The sequence below is a fragment of the Homo sapiens genome, chromosome 16 (genome assembly GCF_000001405.40).
Source record: "Homo sapiens chromosome 16, GRCh38.p14 Primary Assembly".
NCBI lineage: Eukaryota > Metazoa > Chordata > Mammalia > Primates > Hominidae > Homo > Homo sapiens.
The window spans coordinates 21,516,519-21,531,970 of NC_000016.10; the positions used below are offsets into that span (position 1 = coordinate 21,516,519).

Sequence of the window (15,452 nt, forward strand, 5' to 3'; positions counted from 1 at the left end):
CCCAGCTACTTGGGAGGCTGAGGCAGGAGAGTCACTTGAACCCGGGAGGTGGAGGTTGTAGTGAGCCGAGATCGCGCCATTGTACTCCAGCCTGGGTAAGAGCAAAACTCCATCTCAAACATAAAATAAAATAAAAATAAATAAATAAAAATACTTTTTAAAGCCCTATTACCACAAAATAAATCCAGGAACGTGTGACTTGGTACAGCCTCTTTGGAAGGCACATTAGCTATTACATTAGAATCCACACCCCGCCGGGTGCGATGGCTCATGCCTGTAATCCTAGCAAATTGGGAGGCTGAGGCACATGCCTGTAATCTAAGCTCCCGGAGGTTGAGGCAGGAGAATTGCTTAAAACCAGGAAGCAGAGGTTGCAGTGAGCAACGAGCCTGGGCGACAGAGACAGACTCTGTCTCAAAACAAAAACAAAAACAAAAAACAAAAAACCACATAACCTTTTCCCATTTGCACAAAGCTGGGAAACCCCAAATGCCCTCCACAGGGGTCTACGGGGGGTCGGGGGGTGGGGGCGGTGAGCACACTTGTTCCTGCCGACACAGGGAAGTCTTCTTAGCAGCTAAAGAGGGCAGCCTCTGCGTACTGCCTGGGAACATGGCAAAACCATTTTAGGCTTAAAAAAAAGGTGGAGAACAAGTTGTACATTATGATCTTTTAAATAAATAGGCCAGCGATATATTTGTAACAGAAGCAGCTCTGGAAGCGTACACTGTCAGCCACAGAAACTCTGGGGCTGGGGGGTGGTAAAGGAGGAGAAATGTGTCACCCAGGCAGGAGCTTAGTGGCACCATCTTGGCTCCCAAGTTCAAGCAGTTCTCCTGCCTCAGCCTCCGAGTAGCTGGGACTACAGGTGTGCGCCGTCACGCCCAGCTGATTTTTGCTTTTTTTTTTTGAGACAGAGTTTCGCCTTGTTGCCCAAGCTGGAGTGCAGTGGTGCGATCTCAGCTCACTGCAACCTCCACCTCCTGGGTTCTAGTGATTCTCCTGCCACAGCTTCCCGAGTAGCTGGGATTACAGGCATCTGCCACCACGCCTGGCTAATTTTTTGTATTTTTAGTAGAGATGGGGTTTCCCCATGTTGGCCAGGCTGGTCTCGAACTCCTGACTTCAGGTGATCCGCCTGCCTCGGCCTCCCAAAGTGCTGGGATTACAGGCATGAGCCACAGTGCCTGGCTGGTTTGAATTTTTAAATGATGATGAATTCATGTATGACTGATGTGATTTTTATTAGAAAGAGAAAACTAGGCAGCGCCCCATCCTATGTCTCCTTCCTGGTGGCCAATGAAGCATTTCCCACAACTCACTCCTGGCACCAACAGGAAGTCAGACACTCAGCACCCAGGGGCTGCTTTTTTTTTTTTTTTTTTTTTTTTTGAGACAGGCTTGCTCTGTCACCCAGGCTGGAGTGCAGTGGCAGGATCTCAACTCACTGCAAACTCCACGTCCCGGAGCATGCCTCAGACTCATAAGTAGCTGGGATTACAGGCGTGAGCCACTATGCTCAGCTAATTTTTGTATTTTTAGTAGAGATGGGGTTTCACCATGTTGGTCAGGCTGGTCTCGGACTCCTGACCTCGGTAGATCTGCCTGTCTTGGCCTCCCATAGTGCTGGGATTATAGACGTGGGCCATCACACCCAGCCAACAGGGATTCATTTTTTAAAGGTAAGAGTGCAGGCTGCATAAGCTATTATCCATGTCGTTACATACCAGGCGGGCATGTACCTAGGCGAGAGGGAGACTGAACCAGTGAAATTCTAATGACAAAAAAAAGAAATCAGTCATCCCCTACATTCACATGTCCAACGCCCAGCTGGAAGCCACAGGCTCTCCCCACTCCTGTCCTACGATTTTTCCCGGCTTTGACCTGCATGGTGGTGCGGCTGCTCCGCTCAGAGCCTCAGAGAAACCACACAGAGCCCTGCTGAGTCTTGCCCTCGGGGCATTCTCACATTTATGAAGAAATGCCTCCCCCTCCCCCTTCTCCCCAAAGTACGGTGTGGCAGAAAACAGCGCCAACAGGTCCTGCCAGTCAGAAGCCACTCCCCTGATTTCATGGCTCAAGACCCCAACTATAAATTAACCCTTCCCACCTTGAATGTGTACACACACTACTGAGATCCAGGCCGATCCTTGCCATGGGATGAACCTGAGAATTGCCAAGACCCGCCTTCCCACGCCACCCAACCAAATCATGTGGTATCTGGTACAAGTCATTTTCCCCCTGAAATCCCACAAGAAAACTATTTTGAGGCCGGGCACGGCGGCTCACGCCTGTAATCCCAGCACTTTGGGAGGCCGAGGCGGGCGGATCACAAGGTCAGGAGATCGAGACCATCCTGGCTAACACGGTGAAACCCCGTCTCTACTAAAAATACAAAAAAAATTAGCCGGGCGTAGTGGCGGGCGCCTGTAGCCCCAGCTACTCGGAAGGCTGAGGCAGGAGAATGGCGTGAACCCGGGAGGCGGGGCTTGCAGTGAGCCGAGATCGCGCCACTGCACTCCAGCCAGGGCGACAGAGTGAGACTCCATCTCAAAAAAAAAAAGAAAAGAAAAGAAAACTATTTTGAAAAGCAGTTCTCTCTGGCCTGGTGAAGAACACACCAGCACCATGCCCACCAAAATAGGAGCCCCATGGCTGTTTCCCAGAGTAACCTGGGACCCGAACCTCCATTCACTGTAACACAGACTGAATCTGCAGCCAAGCTCCGCTCTCTCACTACTGGGCAACCCTCAGGGGGGATCCCTTAGCCTAAACCAGCACCAGTCACTACCCGCACACGATTTTATTACTACTGTTTTCTTATGAGTCAGCCCGTGTCACTGATTCCTGACGAGCTGGTGTGGAGAGCAGAAATGAATAATTTTCTTTTTAACTGCAATTTCGTTTTCACCAACCAGTCAGCAATCGGAGCTTTAACAATAAACCGGTTGCTCAGTTACTCCACGTGGGTGCCACGCAAGAGGCTGGGAGTATTGCTCAGCGGGGCCAACGGGAGGCTGGCACTTGCCTGAACCGCTTAAGTGGGGGAATGAAATGCCCACCGAAGGGCAGGGCAGGGACCCTGCTGTCCCGTCACTGAAGATATTCCCAGCCTGTGGGGAGAAGTGTAAAAGAATGAATGAAAGAAACGCACTTGGTTTCTGGGACCAATGACCTTAGCCTAGAACTGCCGGGACGGTCCAGGAACGCAAAAATGTAGAGATGTGGGAGCCAGGGGCGTAGTGATGCAAGGATGCAGGGACCCAGGGACTACGACCTCCCAACCCCCGGCCCGCGCCCCGTACTCACGCACGGAGTGGCAGGCTACGAGCTTGGCTGCCTCCTCGGGCACCGGGCAGGTGGGGAAGAGCGGCTTGAGCAGGTAGGTGGCGAAGACCAGGGCCACGATGTACTGCGATGAAGGCCGGATGATGAGCAGCTCGATCCAGAGCTTGAGGAAGGCGGGCAGCGAGCCGTAGACGTCCAGCATGTAGGCGTAGTCGCCGCCCGATTTGGAGATGGTGGTGCCCAGCTCCGCGTAGCAGAGCGCGCCCACGATGGAGAAGACGCCGCACGCGGCCCACACCACCAGCGCCAGCCCCGGCGAGCCTGCCTCCTTGAGCACGCCCGTGGGCGTCACGAAGATGCCCGAGCTCATGATGGCGACCACGATGACGGCCACGCCCTTGAGTAGCGTGATGTTCCCCTGCAGGGTCACGCCCTCGCCCTCGCCTGCCGGCGCCGCGCCGTCCGCGCGCTTGGCGGCCATCATCTTCTCCCGCGCCTCTTCCTTCTCCTCGGCCACCGGGGCCGCTAGCGCGCGCCGCTTCGGGCCCGCACCCGCCATGCTCTGCTTACCGGCCGGGCCTGGGACACCCGGGAGCCGCAGCCGAGCGAGGATTGTGCGCGCCGCTCGCCGCCCGCCGCCCGCAGCTGCGTCAGGAACCCCGCCCGCGCCGCCTTTTAGGCCCCGGCCCACTGGCCCCGCCCACCGTCCGCGGCTCCTCCCCGACCCGTGGCCCGGCCGCGGCCCTCAGCCCCGCCCCCTCGACCCAGCTCGGAGCACGTGCGTCGTCCGGCCTAGCCTGGCAGGCGATTCCCAGGCCCGCGTGGTCCTCGAAGGCCCCCGTACTCCTGCGCCATGGAGACCCCGGCCTCGCGACCTACCCCCCCGGCGCCCGCGTCATCCCAGCCCGTCCTCCCGGGTGCGCCTGGGCGGGGCCTGGCAGTCAGGGCGAGCCCCTTCACCCACTGGCCCGCAGCCTCTCGTCAAGCCTGGGAGCGGGCAGTGCACCAGGGCTGGCCTGAGGCCAAGGATGGGGTTTGGGGTACCCCCCGAAGGGAACCTAGGCTCCTGTCCCGGATGGGCCGAGGGGATGGAACCGCCCCCACAACCAGCTCCTGGGGCACGGGGGAGGGATGAGAAGATGACCTGAGGGGAAGCTCCTGCAGCCTCCTTCCAGCCTGGGGGCTGCATCAATGTGGCTGGTGAGCCGCGAACTGAGACGAGGGAAGAACCGAACCGAGGCCACCCAGTAATTCCCATTGTATCCCAAAAGAATCTTGCCAAAGATGGCGATCCGGTGCCCGTAGCTTTGAGAAGCAGTAATAACACAGGCTTTGGGAAGCCAGCACTCTGCCTGAGCTCAATTTAATCAACAGAACCGGGGGTTCACCGGGAGCCATAAGACCCCCACCCCCAAATCTAGCTGGGAAATTCAAAGGCAGGCTTCAGTGTGAAGGGGCTTTAAAGCTTGTTATTCCTGGGGAATGCGAGAGGCATCTTAGCTAAAAAGGGTTGAGAGGTAATTTCAGTTAGAGGCGAGAGCAGGATGCCAAGGCTCCTAGGCCTGGAAACGGGAAGGAATATAAATACTGCCCCGAGATTGACCAGACTGGTGAGCAGCCAAAGACCTGTTCAAAGGGTGTGTGTGGGTCAGGGAGGAAGCTCCTCGGTATCCCCCCAACCCGGGGTTCCTTGGCGTGTGTCCTAACGAGTACTTGGAAGCTCACAGCAGGCATGTGGGGAGGCCTTTGTTCTGGGTGAGCGTTCAGCCTCCCAGGGCAAACACGCAAACACCGGTTGCAGAGCTGGGTGTTCACAGCAAGACAGTCTGCTGGGCAGATGCCTCTGGAATCCACAGAATTCTGAACAATAGCCGTGGTGGAGGGGGGGTCAGAATCCCTGTCGTGCTGGGACCTCTAGCTGCAGCCAGGAATGTCCAGGCCCCACCCCGGGGAGGAGGCGGCTGAGGAATGCCACGGCTTGTCATTCTGGACCTTGCTCGCCCCCCGGTATGGCAGGCATTCCTCTGCAGTGATAAAACCAAGCGAAATCTCAGCAGCCCAGGCAGCCACCGGCAGGGGAGTGCGGAGGTCGCACAGATACTAACTTGTAATCTGCCGTCCACGCTGCGGGCTGTGGAAGGTGCAGAGAGCCCTCCATCCACCCTATTCTTCCCGCTGTGCCTGCAGAGGGAAGGAGACAGTACCACCATGGCTGGACAAACTCACCGAGTGCTCACTGAGTCCTCCCCTAGATAGCTTCTTGTGCAATAGGGTAGGTGCCAGTTAGGAGCAAGGTTAGAGATTATAGGGCCAGATTTTTTGCTTAGGTTCAACTACGCAAAATAAAAATAGACTTTGCATGCATTTCAGGCACTGGGCTGACGACCGGCCACCAGGGAGGCTCCGCCCCACTTCTTAGCTTTGGCCCCAACGTTAGTCTTGTTGCTGCTCTCAGGCGTGCTCTGCGTGTGAAAGATGACTTGGAGGCTGGGCGCGGTGGCTCACGCCTGTAATGCCAGCCCTTTGGGAGACCAAGGTGGGAAAATCTCTTGAGCCCAGGAGTTCAAGACCAGCCTGGGCAACATAGGGAGACCCCGTCTCTACAAAAAATACAAAAACTAGCCCAGCGTGGTGGTGGTGCACCTGTAGTCCCAGCTGCTGGGGAGGCTGAGGTAGAAGGATCACCTGAGCTGGGGAAGGTTGAGGCTGCAGTGAGCTGAGATCACGCCACTGCACTCCAGCCTAGGCGACAGAATGAGACCGGTCTTTTTTTTTTTTTTTTTTTTTTTTTTTTGAGACGGAGTCTCGCTCTGTTACCCAGGCTGGAGTGCAGTGGCGCGATCTCGGCTTACTGCAAGCTCCGCCTCCTGGGTTCACACCATTCTCCTGCCTCAGCCTCCCAAGTAGCTGGGACTACAGGCGCTCACCACCATGCCCGGCTAATTTTTTGTATTTTTAGCAGAGACGGGGTTTCACGGTGTTAGCCAGGATGGTCTTGATCTCCTGACCTTGTGATCCCCCCGCCTCGGCCTCCCAAAGTGCTGGGATTACAGGCGTGAGCCACTGCGCCCGGCGAGACTGGTCTTGAAAAAAAAAAAAAAGATGACATGGAAGCAACAGTAGGAGCCGGGGTCAGAGTTCAGGCCCGTCCATCCGTGGATGATGGATAAACCCAGCGTAGTCCGCCATCCCTTGGAGAGTCATTCAGCTGCACACAGGAAGACGCGCTGCAATGTGCAGGACCCCTGAAAACACTGGGCTGCGTGAAAGGGTCAGTGACCACGGGTTGTATGATTCCGAGTGCACGAATGTTCAGGACAGGAGGATCCAGAGAGACGGACGAGATTCGTGGCTGCTTAGGGCGGGGGGAAGGGGCGATGGAGAGTGAGGGCTGAGTGGATGGGGTCTCTCTTTGGGGTGATAAAATGTCTTGGAACTAGATGATGGGGATGGTTGCCCAACACTGGGAGTGACTTAAACACCACGGATTTGTACGTGTTTAAATGACTAACGGTTAATGTTATGTTATGTGTGAACTATACATCCAAAAGATAAAAGCAGTTCAGGCCTAGAATCGAACGGTCCTGGGTTCAGATCTCACCTCTACCACTTGCTGGTTAATGTGGCACCAGGCGAGTGACTCGGCTCAGCTTTCAAAGTCTCAGTTTCCTCTTCTGTGAAGCAGGGAGACACCTGCGCCCGCCTCCTGGGGACCAGCAGGTAGAAGACCCTGAGCCGCTGGCATTGCCATCACTGCAGAACTGTGCTCCCAGGGCTGGCAGGTGGAGGACCCTGAGCCTCTGGTGTCATCCTCACTGCAGAACTGTGCTCCCGGGGCTGGCGGGTGGAGGACCCTGAGCTGCTGGTGTTGCCGTCACTGCCGAACTGTGCTCCCAGGGCTGGCCGAATGCCTGGCTTCCACCCTCAGACTTTCTTTCCAATGTGTGCAGAGGGAACACGGAGGGACAGCAGTTGCAGCAGCCCACACTTGCTGTGTCGGGCATGGTCTCAGTGGCTGGAGCGTGAAGATGGAGGCGGGGATGGGAGTGGGCGGCTCTGAGTCAAGGGACACCTGGAGCCCCCAGAAGCTGGAAGAGGCAGGAGGGGTCCTGGAGCCCCCGAGGGAGTCTGGCCCTGCCACCACCTTGATGTTGGCCTCTGGCCTCCGGGACTGTGAGAGAAGAAAGGGCTGTTGTCCTAAGCCCCTGTTTGCAGACAAAGGGAATAATCTCAACATTGAAAAAATATGGCCTTAATCTTTAGTGCGTAGGTGGCAAACTTACCTTCAGGATGGCAGAGACAGATCTTTTTTTCCTGTTGACAGGCATTTTAACATTTCCAGAGACACAGGAGCCAGGTTCTCCTGCTTGGCCTCTGCAGTATGAGCCAAACCTGCCTATTGTTAAGTGATTGAATGAGTTGATGCTCACCTTGAACTTTCTTCCACTCTACCCTGGATTACAAGAAGAATTCATTGCTCAGCCCACGTCCCAGCATGAGGCTGGAAGCAGCTGTGAATTTTGTAGAGACTGGAGGGCCCTGCACTCTTTGCAGCTGCCAGCTTCAGCGCTGCTTTCTTCGGCTACTTTGCCCCGCCTCTCAGTTTTGGGGACAGTGGCTGCAGGGCAGATGCCATTCAACCAGGTCAAATTTCCATGTGAGGATGGAAATTTGTAGGTTATAATTCAATTCTCTATTTTGAAAAATATCCAGGTGGATATTGTTTACCACCAAAACAATGACTTCTATTGTGTGGGCCCGAAAACCAGGCTGATGCATGCTACGGCATGGGTGTGTGGTGCCTGCTCCGTGTGTGAACCATGCTGCTCCGTGTGTGAACTGTGTCTGTTCCATGTGTGAACTGTGTCTGTTCCATGTGTGATCCATGCTGCTCCATGTGTGAACCATGTCTGTTCCATGTGTGAACTATCTGTTCCATGTGTGAACCATGTCTGTTCCATGTGTGAACCATGTCTGTTCCATGTGTGAACCATGTCTGTTCCATGTGTGATTCATGCTGCTCCATATGTGATTCATGCTGCTCCATGTGTGATCCATGCTGTTCCATGTGTGAGCCGTGTATGTTCCATGTGTGATCTGTGTCTGTTCCATGTATGGTCCATGCTGTTCCATGTGTGAACTGTGTCTGTTCCATGTGTGAACCATGTCTGTTCCATGTGTGAACTATCTGTTCCATGTGTGAACTATCTGTTCCATGTGTGAACCATGTCTGTTCCATCTGTGAACCATGTATGTTCCGTGTGTGAACCATGTCTGTTCCATGTGTGATTCATGCTGCTCCATATGTGATTCATGCTGTTCCATGTGTGAGCCGTGTATGTTCCATGTGTGATCTGTGTCTGTTCCATGTATGGTCCATGCTGTTCCATGTGTGAACTGTGTCTGTTCCATGTGTGAACCGTGTCTGTTCCACATGTGGTCCATGCTGCTCCATGTGTGAGCCATGTCTGTTCCATGTGTGATCCATGTCTGCTCCATGTCTGATCACACCTGCTCCCTGTCACTCATTTTGTCTAGACTTCTCAATGATGACAGCCCCCAGTTAACTGGATTTAAGGTAGTTTCTAAACATTTGTAGCCAGATCCATCTAGTATCCTGCAATTCATTCATTGACTCAGCAAACATTTCACAATAGCTAGACATACGCCTGGCTTTGTGAGAATGCATGTCCTCATGACACCCCAGCCTGCGGGTGACCCTTTCATGTGCACCCCTGTGATAACGTGGGATGTGCAGGAGCCTGGGTGTGGGGGGAGGGGATGCTGCTGCCTGGGGCTGGCACTGACGAAGGAGGATGAGCCCAGGAGAGGGAGCAGCGCCTGGAGGCCCAGGGGCAGTGCACAGCAGTCCCCGAGCTTACAAGTGGGAGCACTGCAGCCCATGGCGCCTGACCGCGTTTATTCTGTGCCATGGGCAAGCAGAATGGTTGAGGATCCCGCCCCTGGGGGCTCACATTCCAGAGGAGGATGCAAGCATCATGCAGCAACACATGCCTGATGCCAACAGCTGGGGAGGGGACACAGGGAGACCGTGGTTGGGACAAGTGTCTGAAAGCTGGTTGAGGATGGAAAGGAGTGACTGTGAAGCAGCCGTGGGGACAGCAACCCCAGCCAGAGGCCCACACACACAAGGTGACGTGGAAGAGGGCCAGGCTGCGAATCTTGCTGGGAGAAGCTCGTGCTCGATCCCAAGCCTAGTGGAAAGCCTCAGTTTTGAACAGGGCAGCAGAATGGCCAAGTGTCGGTTTCTCAAAAAAACCCACTGTTAAAAGAAAAAGGGATTTGAGGGAAGAGGGGAAGAGGCTGGAAAGGAAGTGGCTAAACTGGAAGCCCAGCTTGTCACTCAGGCTGCAGCAGAAGGGACAGAGAAAAGTGGACGGACTTGGAATAGGCAGCAGTTTGAGGGTCCTCCAGCAGAGCGTGCTGCTGCCCTGGGTGCAAGGAGTGAGGGGAGAGGAGGGCCCAAGGGGGCTCCCGAGATTGCCTGTGGCGTCGGGTGGATGGAGGAACCATTTATCAAGACGGGGTTGGTGGGCACAGAGTTGGGGATGCAGCAGTGCATGGACAGCCCACCTTTCAGCAGGAGGGACAAGTGTCAAAAAATGACAGCTCCGTTACTGCTGGGCACCGCTGTGTGCCAGGTGCCATCTGGGGGCTCAGCTCAGGCTGAGGGAACAGGAGGAGCAGGTGTTGAGCAGGTGGTGTGGGGCGGGCGGGGAAGGGTGCCCTCAGGTCCATCAGAACAGCCACAAGAGCCCTGGGGTGGGAGGGGGCCGATATTCTGGTCGGCACAGAGTGGGCTGCCAGGAGAGGGTGGGGGCGGAGGGGCAGGAATGTGGATTCTGTCTCAGGGGGGCAAGGCTGAGGGGATGTAGCTGGGCACATGGCCTGCTCTGAATTGAGCTTGGTTCTCTGGAGGGTCGATGGGAAGGATGTGCTGGGGATGGGGAGGAAGCGGAGGAGGAGGAGGCGGTGGCAGCTGTGAACAGGCAATGCTTCTCACACAGGTGTATCTTTATTAAACAAGAAAATAACATAAAAGCAAAGGGAGGAAGCCTTGAACCTTAAAAGCTGGGCCAGAAATTCTACAATACAATCAGAAGCCACAATCTGGTCACAGTGAGAGCCCTTCCCGCAGAGCCGCAGACATTGGCCGCTGCCCCTGGGGCGGGAGGGAAGCCTCCTGTTTGTTTTTTGTCCCGTTGCTTTGAGGGCTGGAATCAATGTCATTTTCTCTCGGAGTGTTTCTGGTTTCATCTCAGTGTGTCCAGGCTCGGATGTCTTCCTGGGAGTATCTCCGTGTCTCAGGATTAACACCAGTTTTTAAAAATAACTGACAAAGGCCATTTTTCAGGAGACAAAGATGTTGGTGCGTGCAGAGGGCCCCCTGTGTTGATATGGAAAATGAAGGTCAGCCACTCCCTGCTTCTCTTGGTATCTTGTTGGACACGATGTCAATGTGGGGCTGGTAGAACTGGAGCCCAGGGCCCCTCTGGCCGCTTGGGCCTTTCTCTGTCTCCAGGTCCCCATGGAAATGGGCAGCCCATGGAGAATGGCTGAATAGCTGCTGTCTGCCCCCATCCCAAGCTCCAGGTTCAGACACCACCCCCTCCATTGACTGTGTCACCCCTTCCCCACCAGAGGAGCGGGCTATTCTCACAGCGCTGCAGGAAGCCCAGCCAAGTGCCTTCCTCTGGCTGCTGCTTCCATCAGCGTGAACTGCCCGGCATTGTAGGATAAGTTTTCTCCTGGGTTTTAAGGTTCAGGACTCTCTCTTTGCTGCACTTTTTCCTTGACTAATTGCACAAATAAGAGAAGGCAAGAGTGAAATGCTGCGTATCCCTTGGCCTAGCGGGTCAGCGACAACTTTCTCAACTTGTCAAGTGAGCCTCAGTTTCCTTATTAAAAACCAGGGATGATTTTGTAGAACTTGTCGCAACTCAGTGGGAGTGCCGTGGCCCTTATGCCCAATGACACCATCCTGTCACTTCAGGAGTTTCTCATAAAACACCATTCCCCAGACCAATGGCGCTGCGAGCTTCTGGGGCGTGGGCTGGGCCCAGCATGTCAGTGCGACCCACAGCGGGGCTGGAGCTGCTGAATGTGCACAACACACTTCACCCCGGGCCTGGTTCAGGAGCGGGCAAGGCAGCTGTACACCCTGTCCTTCAGCAAACTCCTCTTGATCGATGGAATCGAAGTCAGGAGCATCACCTTAGACGCAGAACAGAAACGTGCCCATTTCCCAGCTTGGTGCTTTCCCACTTCTACTTTGACTCCTTCAACCCAATCCTCTTTCACCCGCATCACCACCAAGTGTGATCTCCTTTAAAGAGCCAGACACTTTATTTTGGGGGGGCATGGAGGGGTGGAGTCTCACTCTGTTGCCCAGGCTAGAGGGCAGTGGCACAATCTCAGCTTATTGCAACCTCCACCTCCTGGGTTCAAGCGATTTCTGGCTAGATTTTGTTTTGTTTTGTTTTGAGACGGAGTCTCGCTCTGTCACCCAGGCTAGAGTGCGGTGGCCGCCATCTCGGCTCACTGCAAGCTCCGTCTCCCAGGTTCAAGCGATTCTCCTGCCTCAGCCTCCACAGTAGCTGGGATTATAGGTGCATGCCAACACGCCCGGCTAATTTTTCTTTGTATTTTTAGAAAAGACAGGGTTTCACAATATTGCCCAGGCTCGTCTCAAACTCCTGACCTCATGATCTGCCCACCTCAGCCTTCCAAAGTGCTGGGATTACAGGCGTGAGCCACCGTGCCTAGCCTTAGTTTTTTTTTTTTTTTCTTTTTGAGATGGAGTCTCACTCTGTTGCCCAGGCTGGAGTACAGTGGCACGATCTCGGCTCACTGCAACCTCCACCTCCTGGGTTCAAGCAATTCTCCCTGCCTCAGTCTCCCGAGTAGCTGGGACTACAGGTACATGCCAGCACACCCGGCTAGTTTTTTGTACTTTTAGTAGAGACGGGGTTTCACCGTGTTAGCCAGGATGGTCTTGATCTCCTGACCTCATGATCTACCTGCCTCAGCCTTCCAAAGTGCTGGGATTACAGGCGTGAGCCTAGTTTTTGTATTTTTTTTTTTTTGGAGGCGGAGTCTCACTCTGTCGCCCAGACTGGAGTGCAGTGGCACAATCTTGGCTCATTGCAACCTCTGCATCCCGGGTTCAAGCAATTCTCCTGCCTCAGCCTCCCAAGTAGCTGGGATTACAGGTGCCTGCCACCATGCCCGACTAATTTTTTGCGTTTTTTTTTTTTTTTTAGTAGAGACGGGGCTTCACCATGTTGCCCAGGCTGGTCTTGAACTCCTGACCTCAGGTGATCTGCCCACCTCAGCCTCCCAAAGTGCGGGGATTACAGGCGTGAGCCACCGCGCCTGACCTAACCTACTTATTCTTTATCTCCCCGGAATGAAACGGCTTTTATCACCTTGGGAAACAGATTAGCATCTGCTTATTTTTCTGTGCTTATCTGACTGTAAGGTGACATTGGAAGATAATTTAATTAGGTTGATTGTAAAACTTTCTCTCTTCTGGGAGGAATATTTTTTAATGCTATGAAAATAAAAATACTGGGCCAGGCACGGTGGCTCATGCCTGTAATCCCAGAACTTTGGGAGGCCAAGGTAGGCAGATCACCTGAGGTCAGGAGTTCGAGACCAGCCTGACCAACATGGTGAAACCAAATCTCTACTAAAAATGCAAAAAAAAAAAAAAAAAAAAAATAGGCTGGGCGCAGTGGCTTGCGTCTGTAATCCCAGTACTTTGGGAGGCTGAGGCGGGCGGATCACCTGAGGTTGAGAGTTCAAGACCAGCCTGACCAACATGGAGAAACCCCATCTCTAGTAAAAATACAAAATTAGCCAGGCGTGGTGGCCCATGCCTGTAATCTCAGCTAATTGGGAGGCTGAGGCAGGAGAATTGCTTGAACCTGGGAGGCAGAGGTTGTGGTGAACCAAGATGGCATCAATGCACTCCAGCCTAGGCGACAAGAGCAAAACTCTGTCTCAAAGAAAAAAAAAAAATTTGCTGGGCATGGTGGCGGGTGCCTGTAATCCCCGCTACTCGGGAGGCTGAGGCAGGAGAATTGCTTGAACCCGGGAGGCAGAGGTTGCAGTGAGCTGAGATCATGACATTGCACTCCAGCCTGGGTGACAGAGCGACACTCCATCTAAAAAAAAGGAAAAGAAAAACACTGTACTGATTTTGGATTTTTTCCAAGCAAGTAATAGGTAAAAAGAAACCCAAACTGGCTTACATGAAAGGGCACCTATTGGCTTGTGTAACTGATCAGGTGCAACCATTGCTATAAGCTTGATCCAGACCCGACGCGGTGACTCATGCCAGTAATCTCAGCACTTTGGGAGGACGAGGCAGGCGGATCGCCTGAGGTCGGGAGATCGAGACCAGCCTGACCAACATGGAGAAACCCCGTCTCTGCTAAAAATACAAAATTAGCCAGGCACAGTGGTGTACGCCTGTAATCCCAGCTACTTGTGAGGCTGAGGCAGGAGAATCACCTGAACCCGGGAGGTGGAGGTTGCAGTGAGCCAAGATTGCGCCACTGCACTCCAGCCTGGGTGACAAAGCAAGACTCCATCTCAAAAACAAAACAAAACAAAAAACAACAAAAAAAAAGAGGGTGAAAGGCAGCCCCAGAGTGGGAGAAGAGATTTGTAAAATGGACAAAGGCCTTATAATTGGAATATATAAAGAACTCCTAAAAATCACTAAGAAAACCACAGACAGCCCAAGAGAAAAATGGGCAAATGGCTCAAGTAGGTATCTGGTGAAAGAGGATATGCAGATGGCCAATGAATCTGCACAAAGTGCTCCACATCATTAATCATTAGGGAAGTGCAAATTAAATCCACAGGAGACACCTGGGCACACCCTCCAGAAAGCACACAATGACCTGCTGGCAAGGACAGGAACGACCACTTTGGAAAACTCTTTGGCAGCACAGCCAAACTGAGCCTTTCCACTCGAAAATGCCCTTTGCTCAGAACCCAGCAGCAGCTCCAAAGTCTCCACCCAGCCTATGGGGCCCCAGTACCCACCCTTGCCTCCCATGCCTCTCTCCTCACCCCTGCACTTGGCTGCCCTCACCCTCGGGCTGCACCTTGAACACCAGAAGGGTGCTCCTGCCTCCAGCCTCTGCCTGGAATTCTCTGCCCTCGGGTAGCCATGTGGTTCACTCCTCCTTTGGTCTCTGCCCAAATGGCCCCTGTAGAAGAGACCTCCCCACCCAGCCATGTCCTCTCCCTGTGACTTACCACCCCAGACTTTCTGTGTTGATGCATCATGGTCTACCTCCTTCCATCAGAACGTGAGCTCCGAGGCAAAGGCTCTTCAGACCTGAAACAGTCTAGGCTCTGTCCCCAGAGTCTAGAATAGAGCCTGCCACGTAATTGGCACTCAATAAATGTTACATGAATTAATGGAAACCATCCTGGCACAAGTGGTAGCTCTCTTTCCACAAAAAGAATGAGCTTGCCAAGAGAGAGACAACATCACGAAAGAGAGACAGAAAAGCCACACTCAGACCCAACATTGAGTTCTGGATCAAGTCTTTTTTTTTTTTTTTTTTTTTTTGAGACAAAGTTTTGCTCTTGTTTCCCAGGCTGGAATGCAATGGCGCGATCTCGGCTCACTACAACCTCTGCCTCGCGGGTTCAAGCAATTCTCCTGCCTCAGCCTCCCGAGTAGCTGGGATTACAGGCATGCACCACCAAGCTCGGCTAATTTTGTATTTTTAGTAGAGATGGGGTTTCTCCATGTTGGTCAGGCTAGTCTGGAACTTGGCCTCCCAAAGTGCTGGGTTTACAGGCGTGAGCCACAGCGCCTGGCTCCTATGTTATTTTTTAGGAGCTTTATTGTTTTACCTTTCCTATTTAGATCTATAGTCTGTCAGGAATTAATTTTTGTGTGTGCTGTGAGGTAGGGGTGTGAGGTATGGTGAGAAAAAAGATTCATGGTTCCCCATTTGGATATCCCGTTGGCTCGGTGGGGTGGCTCATGCCTGTAATCCCAGCACTTTGGGAGGTCAAAGCAGGAGAACTATTGGAGCTCAGGGGTTCAGGACCAACCTGGGCAACATAGTGAGACCCTGTGGATCGACAGATGAATTGATCGATCAATCAAT

General features: G+C 53.5%; 1 pseudogene across 1 annotated transcript, besides 11 other annotated features; it reads right to left on the bottom strand.

Annotated features, from left to right (window-relative positions):
- Positions 1,226 to 1,392: a silencer, noted in NCBI's record as "fragment chr16:21529065-21529231 (GRCh37/hg19 assembly coordinates)". NCBI's record gives its function as "represses an EF-1alpha promoter that drives an FKBP-Casp9 reporter gene in an ReSE screen in K562 erythroleukemia cells {active_cell/tissue: K562}" and the evidence as "EXISTENCE:reporter gene assay evidence [ECO:0000049][PMID:32094911]".
- SLC7A5P2 (solute carrier family 7 member 5 pseudogene 2) lies at positions 1,375 to 3,926 on the bottom strand (annotated as a pseudogene). The gene has a single exon (NR_002594.1). The product of NR_002594.1 is annotated as a solute carrier family 7 member 5 pseudogene 2 (transcript).
- Positions 3,554 to 4,287: an enhancer, noted in NCBI's record as "H3K27ac-H3K4me1 hESC enhancer chr16:21531393-21532126 (GRCh37/hg19 assembly coordinates)". NCBI's record gives its function as "activates a minimal SCP1, AML or CMV promoter by ChIP-STARR-seq in naive H9 embryonic stem cells {active_cell/tissue: H9 hESC(naive)}" and the evidence as "EXISTENCE:reporter gene assay evidence [ECO:0000049][PMID:30033119]".
- Positions 3,554 to 4,307: a biological region, named in NCBI's record as "H3K27ac-H3K4me1 hESC enhancer GRCh37_chr16:21531393-21532126".
- Positions 3,648 to 4,307: a silencer, noted in NCBI's record as "silent region_7256". NCBI's record gives its function as "represses an Ori minimal core promoter by ATAC-STARR-seq in GM12878 lymphoblastoid cells {active_cell/tissue: GM12878}" and the evidence as "EXISTENCE:reporter gene assay evidence [ECO:0000049][PMID:35858748]".
- Positions 4,288 to 5,020: an enhancer, noted in NCBI's record as "OCT4-NANOG-H3K27ac-H3K4me1 hESC enhancer chr16:21532127-21532859 (GRCh37/hg19 assembly coordinates)". NCBI's record gives its function as "activates a minimal SCP1, AML or CMV promoter by ChIP-STARR-seq in naive and primed H9 embryonic stem cells {active_cell/tissue: H9 hESC(naive and primed)}" and the evidence as "EXISTENCE:reporter gene assay evidence [ECO:0000049][PMID:30033119]".
- Positions 5,021 to 5,755: an enhancer, noted in NCBI's record as "OCT4-NANOG-H3K27ac-H3K4me1 hESC enhancer chr16:21532860-21533594 (GRCh37/hg19 assembly coordinates)". NCBI's record gives its function as "activates a minimal SCP1, AML or CMV promoter by ChIP-STARR-seq in naive and primed H9 embryonic stem cells {active_cell/tissue: H9 hESC(naive and primed)}" and the evidence as "EXISTENCE:reporter gene assay evidence [ECO:0000049][PMID:30033119]".
- Positions 7,223 to 7,955: an enhancer, noted in NCBI's record as "NANOG-H3K27ac-H3K4me1 hESC enhancer chr16:21535062-21535794 (GRCh37/hg19 assembly coordinates)". NCBI's record gives its function as "activates a minimal SCP1, AML or CMV promoter by ChIP-STARR-seq in naive H9 embryonic stem cells {active_cell/tissue: H9 hESC(naive)}" and the evidence as "EXISTENCE:reporter gene assay evidence [ECO:0000049][PMID:30033119]".
- Positions 8,651 to 9,461: an enhancer, noted in NCBI's record as "H3K27ac-H3K4me1 hESC enhancer chr16:21536490-21537300 (GRCh37/hg19 assembly coordinates)". NCBI's record gives its function as "activates a minimal SCP1, AML or CMV promoter by ChIP-STARR-seq in naive H9 embryonic stem cells {active_cell/tissue: H9 hESC(naive)}" and the evidence as "EXISTENCE:reporter gene assay evidence [ECO:0000049][PMID:30033119]".
- Positions 9,462 to 10,272: an enhancer, noted in NCBI's record as "H3K27ac-H3K4me1 hESC enhancer chr16:21537301-21538111 (GRCh37/hg19 assembly coordinates)". NCBI's record gives its function as "activates a minimal SCP1, AML or CMV promoter by ChIP-STARR-seq in naive H9 embryonic stem cells {active_cell/tissue: H9 hESC(naive)}" and the evidence as "EXISTENCE:reporter gene assay evidence [ECO:0000049][PMID:30033119]".
- Positions 10,273 to 11,083: an enhancer, noted in NCBI's record as "H3K4me1 hESC enhancer chr16:21538112-21538922 (GRCh37/hg19 assembly coordinates)". NCBI's record gives its function as "activates a minimal SCP1, AML or CMV promoter by ChIP-STARR-seq in naive H9 embryonic stem cells {active_cell/tissue: H9 hESC(naive)}" and the evidence as "EXISTENCE:reporter gene assay evidence [ECO:0000049][PMID:30033119]".
- Positions 11,340 to 11,509: an enhancer, noted in NCBI's record as "experimental_43111 CRE fragment used in MPRA reporter constructs". NCBI's record gives its function as "activates a minimal promoter by MPRAs in K562 erythroleukemia cells, with activity observed for both the introgressed and non-introgressed 16:21539264 variant alleles {active_cell/tissue: K562}" and the evidence as "EXISTENCE:reporter gene assay evidence [ECO:0000049][PMID:34662402]".